The sequence below is a fragment of the Homo sapiens genome, chromosome 9 (assembly GCF_000001405.40).
Source record: "Homo sapiens chromosome 9, GRCh38.p14 Primary Assembly".
Lineage (NCBI taxonomy): Eukaryota > Metazoa > Chordata > Mammalia > Primates > Hominidae > Homo > Homo sapiens.
In genome coordinates, this window is record NC_000009.12 from 131,593,177 (window position 1) to 131,610,066 (window position 16,890).

Sequence of the window (16,890 nt, forward strand, 5' to 3'; positions counted from 1 at the left end):
GTGGGCTGGCAGCTCCAGCTTACCCCTCACCTCTCCATGCCTGCCTCCTCTTAGAGGGGGCTGGTACCAGTCAGGGACTCCCAGACTTTCCAGAATTACAACAGCCCTATTTATTTGCTGTGGTGACACCTTCTCAACTGTGCTGTCTCTGATATTACAGAATGAAGTGGAATTTTAAAATGTAGGACACTGCCTGAGCCAACGGGTGGCCAGACTCACTCCCTGCAGCCACCCCCCGTGCCTGCTGAGGTGTGAGGCCCAAGGAGGCTCCGCAGCTGTGCTTCTCACTGTGAGGCTGGGTGCAAACACGCACTGCTTAAATCTTGTGCTCTGGACATAGACCACCTGCTCCCACCTTCTCCCTCATTCCCGAGCTGCTGGGTAGAGGAATCTCGAGGAACCCACATCTCCAGCTGAGTCATGCTGGCTTGGCTCCTGCCCCCACCCTTGCCCCATCCCCTCTTGCATCAAACGAGAGGAAAACCCACGCCTGCTCTTGCACTGGGGGCTGCGTGGGGTGGGGCTGGCAGGTGAAGGAGGCTCCGGGCTGGGAATCACAGCAGGGCCCATCCGCACTGTGCTCAGGCTCATTCCTCGGCCCCCACACCCACCCAGTTCACTGTCAAGCTTGGATTTTTGTTCAAAGAGTTTGGGGAAGGAAGCAGAGATGGCACCAGCATAGACCCATACCTGCTTCTGGAAGAAGGGGCCCAAGTCAACTGGCCTTTGCGGGTGCATCATTGCCAGTAGCCATGACAACTTCGTGGGACTCGCTGGTGAGCACTGGGCCATGCCTTGAACATATGCCACATCCTTCAATGCCCAGAGCAATCCCACAAGGACAGAGTCCTGTTACCCTACCGAGAGAGGAGGAGCCCAGGCACGAGGCCACACCACCCGCAAGCAATGTGGCGGGGTCGGCGCCCATGTCTGCCCAATTCCAGAGCCCTCCCCCATCTGCTGTGCCCTGGATTATGGCAGATGGGACAGCGCCTGGCTTCTGGGACGGGCAGTGCTGTGCCACCCCTCTAGAGATCACAGGACTCTCGATGCGGTCCTGAGCACTCTGTGCGCCCTGGCTCACCTGGTCTTTGAGACAGCCCTAAAAGGCCCCGAAATTGTCCCTCATTTTCCTCCTAAGGAATCGGAAGCTCCGGGGCTAAGTGACAGGCTTGGCACACAGTTGTCAAGGGATAGACAGGATCTAAGCTGAGGCCTGAGGCCAAGGCTGACCTGACCTTCTCCCATGCAGGTCCTGACACCTGAGAGCAGAGCCGTGCAACCACAAAGCACCCCCACACGGCCTCTCCCTGCCAAGCCCTGCTTGGCAGGCTGGGCTCCACGGGCCTGAGCCACGGGGCTCCCAGCTGCTCGTGATGCTGGTGCAGTCTCTGGCTTGCAGGATGCACCTGCCCAAGGAGCTTGCTTTGTTACCTGCCACAGGGTGCTTCACCCTCCCAGTGGAGCCATGGCTTCTGCCTCAGTAATACTTCCTACGTAAAACTTTGGTTCTGGGGAGCCTCCAACCCTTCTGCTAGTAAAATCAGGCAAAGCTCCCACCGGCACGGAGCGTCCTCTCAGCAGGTCCAGCCAGCAAAAGCCAGAAGCCTCTTGGCTGTCCTGTCTCAGGGACCCCTCCAGCCTTGGCCACAGCTGGCTGTACCCGACAGGACAGTGGAGTTCACCCTTTGGAGCCGAGGTCTGAAGCCAGCTCCCATTTCAGCCCCTCGCTGTGGACAAAAAGGAAATGAAAGTCGCTCCCATGCCTGGCTGAGTATGGAGCCCCCTATGTCAGGCAGGGAGGGGGATTCACTGCAGAGAAGCCAAGCAAGGGCTGCACTCGGCGCTCAGGATGCTGCTGATCACGCCCCCAGCACCGCTGACATGCGGGGCAGGTTTCACACTCCCTCACGTAATCCACACAACAACAGGCACCGTTCACCCCTTCAACAAGTGGAGTCGGCTCAGGCCGAGAAGCCCGGGGACTGCCCAGGGGCCCTCTGAGCCTGTCATGGCACAGCTGGGGCTAGGATGCAGCATCGCCAGGTCTGGGCCCTGCCCTGGTCAGAACAAACAAAGGGTGAGGGAACAGTGAAGGGGAGGGCGGAGCAGTGGCTGCGGTGAGTTTGTGGGAGCCATCTCTTCTTTTTCTCTAATTTTCTGCAATGTAAATATTTTTTAGTACTACTTCCATAATTCAGAAATTCCCCGAGTCACTCTGGGTCACATGTTTTGGGAAACGTGCTGAGGAAACACAGGGACAGAGTCCCTTACAGAAATGAAACGGGTTGGGCTAGGATTTCAAGGTGGGGGTGTTTTCATTCCCTCCACAATTTACTTCACCATTGCTCTGACATCATCTTTTAAATCATTTTTTTAAACGTAAAAAGAGAAGCAGCGTGTGGAGAGACTGGCCGGCCAGGTGGTGCTGGCCCCTTGAGGGCAGGCAGTGAAGGGTGCTGTGGCCATGCCCCATCAGGTCACTAGCACCTCCTTTCCAGAGCATGACTGGGAATGACTTTGCTAGCAGAGTCCACCCAACAAGACGTTTTAGGGATTAGGGGACGGTCCCTGCTTTTCCAGCCCTCTCAATCAGCACACTGAATGCGTGGTAGGGTGGGGCAGCTGTGTGCTGTGAAACTGAGGCCACTGCTACAGAATTGAAGGTTCCTGGACAGAACAAACCTTCAAGAATTTCCTCGTGGAGTATGTGAGTGAAGTCCGGTCTAATGGTCTGCAACAATAGAGTGACTCAGCAGTCAGGAAAGGAATCAAAAGGTACCTGCATGTTATCTTAAGTTTAGTACTACTGGGTGACATGCCATCACTCAAGGCGCTGTCTGTGGTGCGCTTAGTATGCGCTGAGCCCCTCAAGGACCCTGGAGGCCCTGGGGTCACTACCTTGTACCAGCGGAGGACAGATGCCACGCACGCCTGGAGTTGAACATGATCTACTTGTCTTCCAAGGTGGGCTCTCCCTGCTCTGACTCAGGCGCACCAGGACTGCTGATCAGACCTGCTCAGGGCTGTGGCTGCCAGGAGGGGACAGGATAGCGGTGGGAGGCCGAGTGGCACCCGGGGCAGGACCAGCCCCAATCTAGTGAGCTCACTGACACCCTACCTTTCCTGTCAGTCTCAGTAGCATGGACCAGTAAGATGTCCCCAGATCCTCCGCGGACGTCCGGCCCGTCATCACCCTGTAATGAACACAGCCAAGGAAGGTATGAGGCAGAGTATGCCCTTCAGAGAATCAGTTTAGGAAGAAACAGGCAGGAATGAGATGACAAAATGCCCTGCAACCCCAAGTCCCCTCTCCTTCTGTGCTCCTCGGCCCAGGAGCAGTGTGGCTGCGCTGCGAAGCCAGGGGTGCCCTCCAGACTCACCTTGTGCTTGGTGACAGGCACAAACTGGACTGTGTCTGGGAGCTGGATGGCCTGGGAGCTGCCCCGGCACCAAGGCACCAGGGCATGCCACTGTTTTGAGCACACAACTTGGGCCAGGGGACATAGCACCTTCCATCCTTCCTTGCTCACCAAACCACAAGTCAGAGGTGAGGTAGGACCCCCTGGGGGCAAGACAGTCCCCAGCCTTGCCCAGGATGCCTGTGGAGGCAGCAGGACTATTTCTAAGCATGTTCATGTTCCCCAAAACTGCAGCAAGCGGCCCTACATCTAAATCCGTCTCCCCAGGTGGAAGTAGAAGTTACTTGCATTGGCACAAGGTTCTTCTGTGGGGCCCTTCCTTAAAGGAGAGCAAAGCATTACAGACAGAAATATTCAATGACTTCTGACGCTGCACACCTGCCACCAACCCACCTGCCTCTTAAGAAGCAAGTCTTGCTTCCATGTGGGCAAACAGAGGCCACCCAGCGTAGAGCCAAAAAGAGCTGTGACTAGGGCCAGGAACAGAGGTCCAGGACAACCCCCCAGGCCTGTTTCTGCCCCTGGCCCTCAATGCTCCTTGCTCTGTAACGCTGGAGGGACGGAACCAGCCCTCTCAGCTGCGGTACACACTCCGGGACTAGCCCACCTTTTTATTTTTAGGCTTTGGTATTTTACCTCCTGACTCCAGAGGCCTGAGATTGTCTTGGGTTTACCTCTAGGAGTAGGAACTATGCCTTTGACCTGATTTTAAGGAAGAAATTTATGGCAAGGATCTCTCTGCAGAGGAGCCCAGCTGTGTGAGTACCCTCATCAGCCCTGCCTGTGTGTGACAGCCCAAGGCGCAGACACATTCCTGGGCTGCTCCCTGCCATGGCCAGAGCCAGCGCATCCTTGCCTGGGAGTGCGCAAAGGGCAGTATCTGCCCTTTTGTCCATGTGTCATCAAATCGAAGCCCCAAAACAGTTGCCTCCTGGTGCGGGCCAAGGCTGCTTTATGAAGCCGCTCCTTTGTACTTCTAGCACTGCACGGCAGGAGGGAGAGGCAGGGCACTCTCTGTCCTGCTTCCTCTCCACTCTCACAGGTTTGGGCCCTTTTTCACCAACGAGGTTCTGCAGGCAAGGCACAGGACCAGGGAATCCACAGTGTCCAGGCCTGAATTTTCTTTTCTTTTTTTTTAGAGATGGGTCTTGCTGTGTTGCCCAGGCTGGTCTTGAACGCCTGGACTCAAGCCATTCCCCTGCCTCTGTCTCCCAGACTGAAGCTACAGTGGAGCTATTTTTTCAACCACAGAAAAAGTTTCCCATTAGTGAGGGCCGGCCACATGCAGGCTCTGTCTGCAGAGCATTTACAGGGGTTCCATCTCCACACCCTCAGGAGTTCTGGCATCTTTAGCTAGAGAGGCTGCAGAACTTGACCTGTGTAAGATGACTTTCTATAAGCATCAGAAGGAGACAGCACACTTCCCCTGGAGTCTACCCCTCCAGAGCCCACAGCCCAGAGGCTCACCAGGGGCATTGAAAGACTTGGTCTCTAAGCCTCCTAGGGTTGTTCTGCTTATGACAAGATCACATTCTTCTCTGCCCCACCTGCTCTCCTCTGTGGGGCCAGGCTGCAAAGCCCCAGCCCGGGAAGTTCTCACCTCCTGCTTGAGCGTCAGCCTGGACATAATTTCGTTGTGGTCAATGAGGGACAGCTCGTCCACTTCCTCCTCCGACTGAGCCGACTCCAGAGCATCTGGTGACTTTGGGGCCCTGCGGGGAGAAGTGGTTTGTGTTGCAAGTGTCAAACCGGCTCAGCTCCCGATGCCTGGAGGCCAAGGCAGTGCCGGTGTGCACGGCTCGAAACCGCTCCCGGAACATGCCTGCCCCGATGGCAGCTACGTCACTATGGACTGGATCCTCAGCTCTGCTACTGACTGGCTGTGTGGCCATAGGACAGTCGCTGCTGCCTCTGGATGTTCCATCTGTACACGGAAGTGATTCCGCTGGGAAAATAAAAAGGTTCCATTAAGCTGTTTGAGTGATGGTCTCAGCCACTCCCTGCCAAGGCCCACCGCACAGTTAGCATTTAGGGAGAGGAGGAGCTAAGGGGCAAGCAGAATGGGAGAGAAAGCTGCATTGCTCTTGAGGCTGCTCCCCAAGTCTTCTCCAAGGACCGACTTGCCACGGGACCCTTTGCTTGGCGCTAAGAAAGAGCTGTGAACCAAGCAGACATAGCCTCTTGTCCCTGAGGGTTCAGTCGAGCAGGAGACAGAATTTATTTATTTGCTTTTTTTTTTTTTTTGAGACGGAGTCTCGCTCTGTCACCCAGGCTGGAGTGCAGTGGCGCAATCTTGGCTCATCACAACCTCCACCTCCTGGGTTCAAGTGATTCTCCTGCCTCAGCCTCCTGAGTAGCTGGGATTACAGGCACATGCCACTACGTCCTGCTAATTTTTGTATTTTTAGTAGAGACAGGGATTCACTATGTTGGTCAGGCTGGTCTCGAACTCCTGTCCTCGTGATCTGCCCAATTCGGCTTCCCAAAGTGCTGGGATTATAGGTGTGAGCCACCGTGCCCAGCCACTTATTTGTTTTTTTTTTTGAGACAGAGTCTCCCTCTGTAGCCCAGGCTGGAGTGCAGTGGTGCGATCTTGGCTCACTGCAGCCCTGACCTCCTGGGCTCAAGCCATCCTCCCACCTTAGTCTCCCAAGTAGCGAGGACTACAGGCACAAGCCACCATGCCTGGATAATTCTGTTCATTGTAGGGATGAGGTCTCACTATGTAGCTCAGGCTGGTCTTGATCTCCTGACTCATGTGATTCTCCTGCTTTGGCCTCTCAAAGTGTTAAGATTATAAGCATGAGCCACCGTGCCCAGTCTTTTTTTTTTTTTTTTTTGAGACAGAATTTTAAAACAAGTGGTCACAGTAGCACAGAGAAAGGGGAAGCCCAGAAGGGTACCATGAGCACAGCCAGGGGGTCTGGCCTCGTCTAAAGGTCGGGAGGCTTCTGGAATGGGATGGGTGAGCCGAGGCTTGCAGTACTGAGCCTAAGTTGCCGGCTGAAGGATGGGAGAGAACATTTCCCACAAAGGGGAAGGTGGGACGGCCGGGGGTGTCCAAGATGAGTCTCCCAGCTTAGGGTGTTCTGGGGAGAGTGGAAGCTGGGCCTACAGATATGCCTGGCTTTCCCCTGGCATTTTCTTCCATGTTCCTCTATTTTATTCTGGCCCGTCTTGTGGTCATAGGTCACATTTTAACCCCAGGTATCTGAGATGTAAAAATATGTGCCTTTAGGCCAAACGTGGTGGCTCACGCCTGTAATTCCAGCACTTTGGGAGGCCGAGGCGGGTGGATCACTTGAAGTCAGGAGTTCGAGACCAGCCTGGCCAACATGGTGAAACCCTGTCTCTACTAAAAATACAAAAACTAGCTGGGCGTGGTGGCGCTTGCCTGTAACCCAGCTACTTGGAGGCTGGGGCAGGAGAATCACTTGAACCCAGGAGGTGGAGGTTGCAGTGAGCCGAGATCGCACCACTGCACTCCAGCCTAGGTGACAGAGTGAGACTCTGTCTCAAGGGAAAAAAAAAAATGTGCCTTCAGTAAAAGAATATGGATGGGTCAGAGTGGGCCCTGCCCAGTCTCGAGAAAATCCCTGCTCCACATCTCGTCAATGTTCACCCTGTGGTTTGGCCTTGATGGAGGGACAACATCCCATAATTATTTCTGAGCAGTCAAAGTGTTCATCCTTCTCTTTCACGAGAACCATCTGGAACTCTGAAGACGATACTTTGGGGTCCAGTGAAGCTAGTGGCATACCCACGAGCTGCATTTGCTTGGCCCACACACTCTGCCCCAGGTATTAACCTAGAAACCACACCATTCCTGGCTTCACACCTGGGGAAAGCTCAGTCTGGGCAGACAAGTCAGAGAGACAAGTCAGAGAGCACAAGAGTGGCCAGGAGGCAGGCTGGGCAGGTGGCCCTCTTCAACAGGTCCCTATGCAATGCCTTCTCATTTCTTTTTCTTTCTTTTGCTATTTTTATTAACTGCCTCTTCAACCATTCATGCTGAGCCCTGATAATGACAAGTGGGCACTCCCTTGCTCTAAGGTCACCAAAGACCCCAGAGGTGGCTAAAGCTTGACCTAAGGAGGGAGGAAAAGCTTGAACACATGGAACATTTCATAGAGAAGGGGAAGTCAATGTGAAGTTGCAGGTGGGAGTGCCCATTTGCAGATCCTACACATCATATTTCACAGGTGCATACTGGGGAAATCTACTACGTATTTCTACACTTGGTCAGGTTTGGTTTATGCTAATATTGAAAAATGTGGCCAGGCATCATGGCTCACGCCTGTAATCCCAGCACTTTGGGAGGCTGGGGCAGGTGGATCATGAGGTCGGGAGATTGAGACCATCCTGGCTAACATGGTGAAACCCCGTCTCTACTAAAAATACAAAATAAATAAATAAATAAAAACTTAGCCGGGCATGGTGGCACATGCCTGTAGTCCCAGCTACTTGGGAAGCTGAGGCGGGAGAATCGCTTGAGCCCGGGAGGCGGAAGTTGCAGTGAGCCGAGATCGCGCCACTGCACTCTAGCCTGGGCGACAGAGTGAGACTCCGTCTCAAAAAAAAAAAAAAAAAAAAAAAAGTTATAAGACATTAAAGAGCTGTAATGACTAAATGCAATGAACAGCTCCTGATCTTGGCTGCAAAAAATTAAGATATACAAGACATTCTTGTTAGCAACATCACATGCACACATATGTCTAGAAATGTCCCTGATAACAAGTTTGTAAGTGGAGGGGGTGTCTTTTACACTCCCTATCAACTTGAAAGAGGCCAAGACCAAGGGAGGTTGGCCTGGGATTTGAAAAAGAAAAGACAAGGCTATCGTGGGTAATTTGTAAGGTAGATAATATAGGTGCAAACAATCAAGAAGTAATGGCAAACTACATGTGAAGGCCTTTGCAGGGTGGGGTTATTAGTGATTTTTCTTGCTTTCTTGCAGTTTTCTATGCTTTTCAACAGTTTCTATCCTGAGCTTGTATTATTTGAGAATCAGAAAAAAAGGAAGAGGGCCAGGTACAGTGGCTCATGCCTGTAAGCCCAGCACTTTGGGAGGCTGATGTGGGAGGATCGCTTGAAGCCAGGAGTTAGTGACCATCCTAGGCAACATAGCGAGACCTCGTCTCTACAAAAAACTAAAACAATCAGCTGGGCGTGGTACTGCATGCCTGTAGTCCCAGCTATCTGGGAGGCTGAGGTGGGAGGATCGCTTGAGCCCGGGAGTTCAAGGTTATAGTGAGCTGCAATTGTGCCACTGCACTCCAGTCTGGGTAACAGATCAATACCCTGTCTCTAAAAAACAAAAAAAGGAAATAAGGAAAGAAGGAAGAGTTTCAACTTGAAATACCCTCAGGCCTAGGGGCTAGCTGGGAGAGGCTGCTCAGGCAGGCCTCATGAGTGGGCGCACTGCTCTCGGGGGACCCAGCTCCTCTGGGTCCACTTCCTACCTCTCACTGCCGTCTCTGCTGTCCTTCCCAGGGACGCCGCTGACCGCTGAGGGATCTCTGGGATGTCCGTCTTTCCCAGCCGGTGGCTCCTGGAAAGAGGAGTGGGTGCTGAGTTCTGGACAGGGGCCCTCTGCGGGGCTGCTCTGTCTTCCCAGCATTCCTGCCTGCAAGTGGCTGTGGAGTGCAAGTTCCTATGGAGCAATCTCAGATGTGAACAAATTAAAGATGAATGCCGTTAATCACAGGAAACACAAGCCCTCAAGACTAGCATGTGGCCTTTGGAGAAAGTGAAAGGTGCCACTATTTGTCTCATCTGTAAGCTGCCAACCTAGGCAAAGCCACCTCAACTACCTCCTCAAAGAAGACTGTCATAGCCACTCCCCCCGAGCACAGCCAGGGACTGGGCTCTAGGCTGTGCCCACTTCTCCTCATTTGACTTCGTCAGTGAGCTAACACCATCGTCCCCACTCCATGCATAGAAACAGAGGCCAGAAGTCAAGGACCCTGCTCAAGACCACACAGCTCATAAACAGCAGAGCTTGGATTTGAACCCAGGGCTATCTACCTGCAAAGCCTGTGCCCTTAACCACTGGGCCCTGCTGTCGTGAACCAAACTCTGCTGATTTAAAGAAGTCCTCAGGGCTGCAGTGCTCAACCGGGTTCAGTCCCCAAAGGGCCAGCTCTCAGGCCCTGGGGTGCCAGTCCCCTCTTCCTCCGGCAGACTTGCTTCCTCCTGGGTCCCTGGGCTGGCCCTACTCAGTGACAACATGGCCCGCCAACATCCCTGGTCTGCTGCTGAGCCTGATGGAGAACTGGGGCAGGACAAATACAGAAAGAGTGCTTCAAGGCAAGGAGCCAGTGAGCCCTGGAAGTGTCACAGTGGAGGGAGAGAGCCATGCGAAGCTGGCCTCTACCTGCACGTGGACTTCACCATGGGGAGGCTGAGCCGGGGGGTGCCAGATGCACATGTCAGCAGAGGAGACAGCTCCCATGGACTGGGTCAAATCCCACTGGAGTGGACACTCTTCAATGTTCTATAACCTGCTAATGTCTGAAACAGGGCTGGCTCTGGGTGGGCCTCTGAACCCCTGTGGGGACCCTGCTGAGAGAACCACCTGAACGGGTGTGACCAAGCTCTTCACGGGTGGGGGCCCGCCCTGGGGTGGATCACTGGGAGTCTTCCAGCCCTCATGGGCCTCCCTTCAAGGAACCTGTCCCACCTGGGCTCATGGGGGGAGCAATTTCTGAAGCTTTTGAACTTGCTCATGTTTGGCTGAAGCAAAATGTGGAAAGTGGATTGCTCAATAGAACTGCTGTACCGCGATGGTCGGGAGCTGGGGCAGCAGCATCACGAGGGTGCTGACGTCGGGTACCTTGTGGCTCCCTCAGGAGGGGGTGTGCATAGTCATGGCAGGGGCTATGGGCCAGACTCACCCGCTTCCTCAGAAGCAGTCAGTGTTGGAGCAATGGGACATGCTGGGGAGGGAGATGAAGGTCTGAAAGGCCCTATGGGAAGAAGAGTCCCTCCCTCTGCATGAGGGACAGAAGATGAAGCCAACACCAGAAGATAAGGGAGGAAGGAACCCCACAGAGAGCACTAGATACACAGCCGGGGCCCGTGCCACGCTGGTCCCAGAGATTTCTAGATGACCCATCTGGCCAGGCTCTGAGGAGTGCCACACGCACTGAAGCAGGAGCAAAGGGCAGACCTCCACCTGGAAGCCACGTCCTCTCCAAAGGGCCGAGCTGGCTCCCAGCAGCCTGCAGGAGCCCAGTCTGCTGGTGACTAGGAGGGGGCTCAGCCCAACAGAAGCAGGTGCGGGGGAAGCGGCCTCGGGAGGGCAGAGCCCAAGCCCCACCAGGCCAGGCCACATGCAGGAGGCCGCCCGAGGTTACTTACTCCTCGAGAGGGAGCCAGCTCCTCGCTGCTCTGGCCAGAGGAATACAGATTGACATATTCACCCTCACCAGCTTCCTCACTGGCGTTTTCACTCTGGGGGAGACAGGACGAGAGGAAAGACACATGGGCCAGGCCCTCCAGCCGGCCCTCACAGCTGGCCAGGGGATGCCACAGCCTGCACTCTGGTCTTCCCAGGTGCAGAGAGCAAAGCTGCTTTTGCCACCTCTTGCCTCTGTGCTAGAGGGGATCCAAGTCTCCTGCTGCTGCCCCTCCAATGGTGTCTGGGGCTAAATCATCCTGGAGAGATGGCCCCACTGTAGTGGAGACAGCAGGGGTCCCCAGTGTGGCGGGAAACGATTATGGAGGGAGAGAAGCAACACATCAAGACAATCCCACATACTGGGGAGTGGGGTCCGCTGCCTGCACTTCCTCTGCCCCATGTACTTGTCTGCTCCAATCTGCAAGGCAGCATTTCTCTGAGTTGGACGAAGCGCTACAGGCACTTTAACAGGCTAGAGACCAGGCTTCTGTCATCGGCACCACATGCAACCGAACAGACACTTGTCCTGAATCTGTCACCTCCACACTTGCGAAGGGCTTTGTACCTTTCCCTAAAAACAGACAAGTAAATGGAAAGCTAGTAGCATTTTGTATCTTATGCGTCTGATAAGTTCCTCTCTAAATGGCCACTAATCCATTTGTGGAAAATCAGATTCCTAGTTTGATAGAACTTTGTATAGAAGAGTCAGTTCTGTTCTGGAAACACATGGGCTCCCATTGCACCTTGTGACCCTCAGTAGCTGTCAGCTCAGCCATGCTGCCAGCAGGTGTGCGCTGGCAGCCCCCAACTGCTAGTAAAGGGGAGGCAGTGTCTTTCAGGAACGTGAAACCGCTTTTTAAAAAACGTGCAGCCCCATGTGCAGGGGTGTGTGTGTGTGTGTGTGTGTGTGTGTGCACGCTGAGTTCTCACCGAGTCAGTGAAAGAGGTTTCGGAAGGAAGGCAGACAGTATTCCCATGAAAGCTGCTCTCCTGAGAAGCCGAGAGAGGCCCGTCCACGGTGCTGGGAGGTGGACCGGCCATGGTTGGCACGGCTAAGTCAGAGCTCTGAGACTGGTGGGCAGGTGGGAAATGTGGAGAGGAAGAGGAGGTAGGCGGAAGGAAAGGCGGAACGGAAGCTTGGTGGTGAGGCACGAAATCCTGGGAGTAGGACCTAAACACAGACTTATACTACAGAATCCAGGTGGAGAACAAACAAAAACGAGAATACAAGAAGAAAAGAGAAAAAGTAATTAGATTGGCAGTAGCTGAGCAGTGACAGGCCGTTCACAATAACTTAGTCTAACGGGCCACCAATCACGCCAAGCAACCCCCAGTCCTCAGGCCACTGTGATACCCACACCCAGCACCTCCTCCCTTGAGAAGGGCCCTGAGACTGGAGAGTGAACAGCGCTGTCCTCAGGGCTATCTAAACAGCATGACACAGAGAACGGCTCAAGTGGCCACATGCTCTGCTGGGACAGAAAATAAAACCTGCGTGGCCCATCGCTGTCTTGTCTGCTCAGGAACTTCGTGGCCAAATTCAATGTCATTGTAATTACTCATTTTGAATTTCTGGATGAATCTCTCAGGTTTTATTCCTTAAGAGTCAAACACTGCAACTTTTAAACATTGAAATCCACCTTGAATGCTTTTGGAAAGGAGCGGCACAAACCTTAAGCGTGGCTGGCAAGCTGCACTATGGAAATGCTAACGATGTCTGAGTCCATTTCTCTTCCTACCCCATTTTTTTCTTTCTTTCTTTCTTTTTTTTTTTTTTTAACAAATGAAGTAGGCTGGGCATGGTGGCTCACACCTGCAGTCTCAGCTCTTTGGGAGGCCAAGGCAGGTGGATTGCTTGAGCCCAGGAGTTTGAGGCCAGCCTGGGCAACATGGCAAAACCCCATCTCTACAAAAAATACAAAAATGAGCTGGGGGTGGTGGTGAGTGCCTGCAGTTTTAGCTGCTCTGGAGGCTGAGATGGGAGGATCACTTGAGCCCAGAAGGCAGAGGTTGCAGTGAGGCAAGATCAAGTCACTGTACTCCAGGCTGGGTGACAAAGCAAGGTCCTGTCTCAAATAAAAACAAATGTGATCTTACAACAGCTTTGATGCCACCTTGTAGCCACAAGGCTATACTCCCCCAGATGCTCATCAGAGAGGAAAGACACTGTGTTGAGAAGTGACAGCAAATCCCATGGCTTCTGGGGTCCAGTGAGCACCCCCGGCTGGGGCTCTGCTGCTGAAGGAGGGACAGAGGTGTTCCAGGACCTGGTCAGCAGCCACCACGTGGAGAGAATCTAATGATGTGATGTCATCGTGTCCTACAAAGGCCTGCCATCATGCTGCTACCATCATGGGGAGCTGGGAGAGCGCTGTGGGGGTGGCCACGTCCAAAGTCCTTGCAGATATGGGTGAATGAATGAGTCACAAAATTAAACAAAACAAAGACCTTGCCGGGCTCACTGGCCCACTACAGAGGCAGGGACGTGAGGAAAGTCAAGCCCAGTGCAAATGTGCGTGCCACTCGCTCAAACATTCTCTGTGTTTGCTGTGGCTGGGGATTTTCAGAACCCATGGAAAAGAGGAAGAAGAGGAAGAAAAATGAAGTTTTAAACTAACAAGAGGTCAAAGCCACTCATCCTTAAGTAGTTTTTTGTTTTCTCTTTTGAGACAGGGTCTCACTCTGTCACCCAGGCTCACTGCAGCCTCGACCTCCTGGGCTTAAACAATCCTCCCACCTCGGGTTCCTGAGTAGCTGGGACCACAGGTGCATGTCACCACAACCGGCTCACTTTTTGATTTTTTTGTAGAAACGGGGTCTTTCTATGTTGCCCAGGCTGGTCTTGAACTCCTGAGCTCAAATGATCTGCCCGCCTCAGTCTCCCAAAGTGCTGGGATTACAGGGATCAGCCACCATTCCTGGCCCTTAAGCAGTCTGGCAAAGCTACCCTTTAACCTGTACAAAGAGCTACCGTAACTCGAGGGACAACGCAACCCTCTCGTTTCCACCTGTGTGTACAGCCGTGGCCCCTTCCCGGCTGCACTGACCAGAGTTTCAAGCTCCTCCCTCATCTCACTCCTGTGATCTCACACCAGATCCATGACATCTGCCCTAAGCACTCACTACCACTTACACATCTGCTTTCCCATCTAACCTACAAACTCAAGGCCAACCCTATGCCATGGTCAAATAAATCAGTGGAAGTGTCATACATGTGACCAGCACTGAACACTCAGGTACCTGTACAAGTGAAGTTCCCTTCATATCCTTCTTTCAGGAGCTCGGGGGGCAGACACCCTGCTTGGTACACCCTGGCTTGCCGCCCTCACCTACACCCTCACAGCAGGCTCCACGCAACACTTCAACGTTTCACAGCAATTACCCAGGATGGCGCTGCAGGCCTGGGAGCTCGCTCTGGGCCTTCCTGGGATGGCAGTGGGGTGAAGGGCTTGGCTTTCTGGGTTTTCCATCGATCTCTGGAGGATGCCTGCACACAGCAAGCCTCCCTTACTGGCTGGGAAAGTCCACAGAGAAGACAGCAAGCAGGATGCACTGGCTGAGGGGTGGGACGGCGTGCTGCTGGGGGGGCTGCCTTCAGGGAACCCTTGTATGACTGTTTCAGGGAGTGGCTCAATCTTTTGTAGCCCCAATTCTCAGATCTGCCAGATGTTCATTCCCAATGCCCAGACACTGCCACGAGATTTGCTAAACAGATCCCCCTCACCTTGCCTTGCTGCTGCCTAGTTTAAGGAGTCATGTTCCGCGCTGACTCCTTCTGGAGTCTTGAAATAGCCTCATCGGCGCCCCCGTGTAAAGTCACTTTGTGCTTCCACGTGCCCTGCAATAACTGAGCACCTGATTTACACATACACAAATGGCTTTTGTGTCATCACAAAATGTACCAAGTTGGAGAAGTGTCTTCCTAACCAATCATATAGTGTGTTTAGCCGGTTTTAATTCAACAAGGTGAGGGGCAGACTCCCACAGCATGGTGCCTCTTCCGGGAGACGGCACAGGGCAGCGGCTGACTGCAAGGTCTCCAGTTGCCCCTCATGGCATCTCCGCTTGTGTGCCCTAGTACAAGTGACTGAAGTTCTTGAGCCTCAGCTCAAGCTGTTCATCTTTAAAACGGGGATGAAAACAATAGCCCCTCCCCCATAAGGTTTCTGCGACGTTCCGCGAGACGCAGAGCGCTGCGTGCAAGTCCTCCGCATGGTGCTGGTGCGGACGACCTCTCGGCCAGCAGCAGCCGTCCTCTCCTGCCCTCCCAACAATCCAGGAACTGCCCTAAATAACAGTACTGGGGCATTCAGTAGGGGCCTAATACATATTTGCTGATACGTATTTTAGTAGGCACCTAATACATAGTCTAGGCACTGTATTAATTAAGGTGTCTAGAATATTACCTGACTCACAGAAGCGTCTCAGTTTTGAGTGTGGATGGGTAAGAGACGAACTTCACCCACTGCATGGGTTCAGGTCCAGACACTGGGGAGGGAGGCTCAGGGAAATGACCAGGGGTGTGGGCTGCCAAGGAGGGGGCAGCTAGCAAGGAGAAAGCAAGGAGAGTCGGCCTCTCTTGGACAAAGGGGCCTGGCCTGCTCTGCCTCTGCCTCTGCAGCTGTGAGCTCACGTTCTGGTATTCAAGCTATGCAGTCGTGCTGGGACAAGAGCCAAACTGGAAAGGTACCTTCACGGGGCAGGGAGACACAGGGAAAACCTTCTGATCACCATGAAGCCCTTGCTGTGCCCCTTGGGCTCTGCAGATGCCAGGAGCTGCATCAGGGCTCATGGTCACACCATTTACAACAGGCCCCCATCTCTACCGATTCCCCAGAGCAATACTTCCAGCCCCTTATGATCACGCTTACCCACAGGGGCAGAGAGAAAGGCAGGGCGGGCCATTCCACAGAAACGCCGCCTCATCACAGCCTGGAGTTTATTTTAGGATCTGGCTCGTGCCCGGGTTTGCTTCTGACGAGCTGCTGCTCTCTGTGCAGCAGGAACTTTTATTTATAGCCAGAATAAGACTGTTTGGGCTGAGGATTTTAGAACGGGAAGGGCTGCCTGTCTGAGACTTGCAAACTTCTGCACAAGATCTAGGGGTGCCAGTTAGGAGAGGGGTGCCTGGCCCCCAATGTCAGCCCTGGTCACATAGCCAGTCGAAACACAGCAGGGACTGCCTCATGAGGACGAGAACAACTATTCCTACCTCATGCTTCCTGCTAGGCAGATGTAAGTGTTGCACGGATCATCTCAATTAACGTACACACAGTGCCTTACTGTTCTTATTACTGATGAAAATACTGAGGCTGGGAGGGGAGACCACGTGCCTAATAACACAGCTGGCAAGAGGTGGCGTGGGTATGGCTGATATCACAATCAGTTCGTGTTTTCTGAAATACTGAGGTGTATCCTGGACGAGACAGGCCCTAACCATGCAATCCCACAGCTCTGCAGGGTACAGCCTCACCAAATCTGCAGAGTTCCTTAGCTGAGTGCTTTGTGACACCAGGCATGCAAAGCCCAGTGAGCTGAGACTTGATCCATAAGCCAGGATGGAGAGAGGGGTGCACTGGCCAGAGTGTGGCAGGACAGGCAGGGAAAAGGTGGAATCAGTAACCAGCTCCTTTGGAAACACACCCCTGAAAGCCACTGGGCCCCGGAGTCGAAACGATGCTGGAGGCTGATGACCTCATATGCGAGCGTGTGGCCAATTCATTAAAAGGCAAAGCTGCCTGAAGCTGGCCAGGCACCAGTTTTTTTTCTCACAAGTAAAATACTTAGAAAAGGCACTAGTTTTCGGTGACACCTTCTCTCTATTATAGTCCTGGCATGGAAAAAGGATTAGGGATGGGCTCTGTGTTGCCTTAGCAAGAAAGCAGGAAAGATCTTTTTCTTCCTTTCTTTTTTTGAGACAGGGTCTCGCTCTGTCACCCAGGTTGGAGTGCAGTGATGCGGTCTTGGCTCACTGTAGCCTCAACCTCCTGGGTTCAACTGATTCTCCTGCCTCAGCCTCTCAAATAGGGGGGAATATAGGCATGTGTCGCCAGGTACAACTGATTT

The 16,890-nt window shown here is 53.4% G+C and overlaps 1 protein-coding gene across 26 annotated transcripts in view, besides 2 other annotated features; it reads right to left on the reverse strand.

Moving 5' to 3' along the window:
• RAPGEF1 (Rap guanine nucleotide exchange factor 1) overlaps positions 1-16,890 on the reverse strand; it is a 163,302-nt gene that overhangs the window by 16,402 nt on the left and 130,010 nt on the right. For 12 of the 26 annotated variants that reach the window (NM_001377938.1, NM_001377935.1, XM_005272186.5 and 9 more), the window contains 5 exons: positions 11,755-12,012; positions 10,785-10,877; positions 8,885-8,973; positions 5,023-5,134; positions 3,122-3,197 (listed from right to left, as the gene is read on the reverse strand). In NM_001377938.1, coding sequence (NP_001364867.1) covers positions 3,122-3,197; positions 5,023-5,134; positions 8,885-8,973; positions 10,785-10,877; positions 11,755-12,012 — 628 coding nt within the window. Of the gene's footprint in view, positions 1-3,121; positions 3,198-5,022; positions 5,135-5,244; positions 5,368-8,884; positions 8,974-10,784; positions 10,878-11,754; positions 12,013-16,890 lie in introns of those variants that run through there. The other 14 variants (NM_001377937.1, NM_001304275.2, NM_005312.4 and 11 more) reach the window with 3 other exon arrangements.
• Positions 12,613-13,113: an enhancer, noted in NCBI's record as "H3K27ac hESC enhancer chr9:134481176-134481676 (GRCh37/hg19 assembly coordinates)". NCBI's record gives its function as "activates a minimal SCP1, AML or CMV promoter by ChIP-STARR-seq in naive H9 embryonic stem cells {active_cell/tissue: H9 hESC(naive)}" and the evidence as "EXISTENCE:reporter gene assay evidence [ECO:0000049][PMID:30033119]".
• Positions 13,066-13,360: an enhancer, noted in NCBI's record as "tiled region #10461; HepG2 Activating DNase matched - State 5:Enh". NCBI's record gives its function as "activates a minimal TATA promoter and a strong SV40 promoter by Sharpr-MPRA in HepG2 cells {active_cell/tissue: HepG2}" and the evidence as "EXISTENCE:reporter gene assay evidence [ECO:0000049][PMID:27701403]".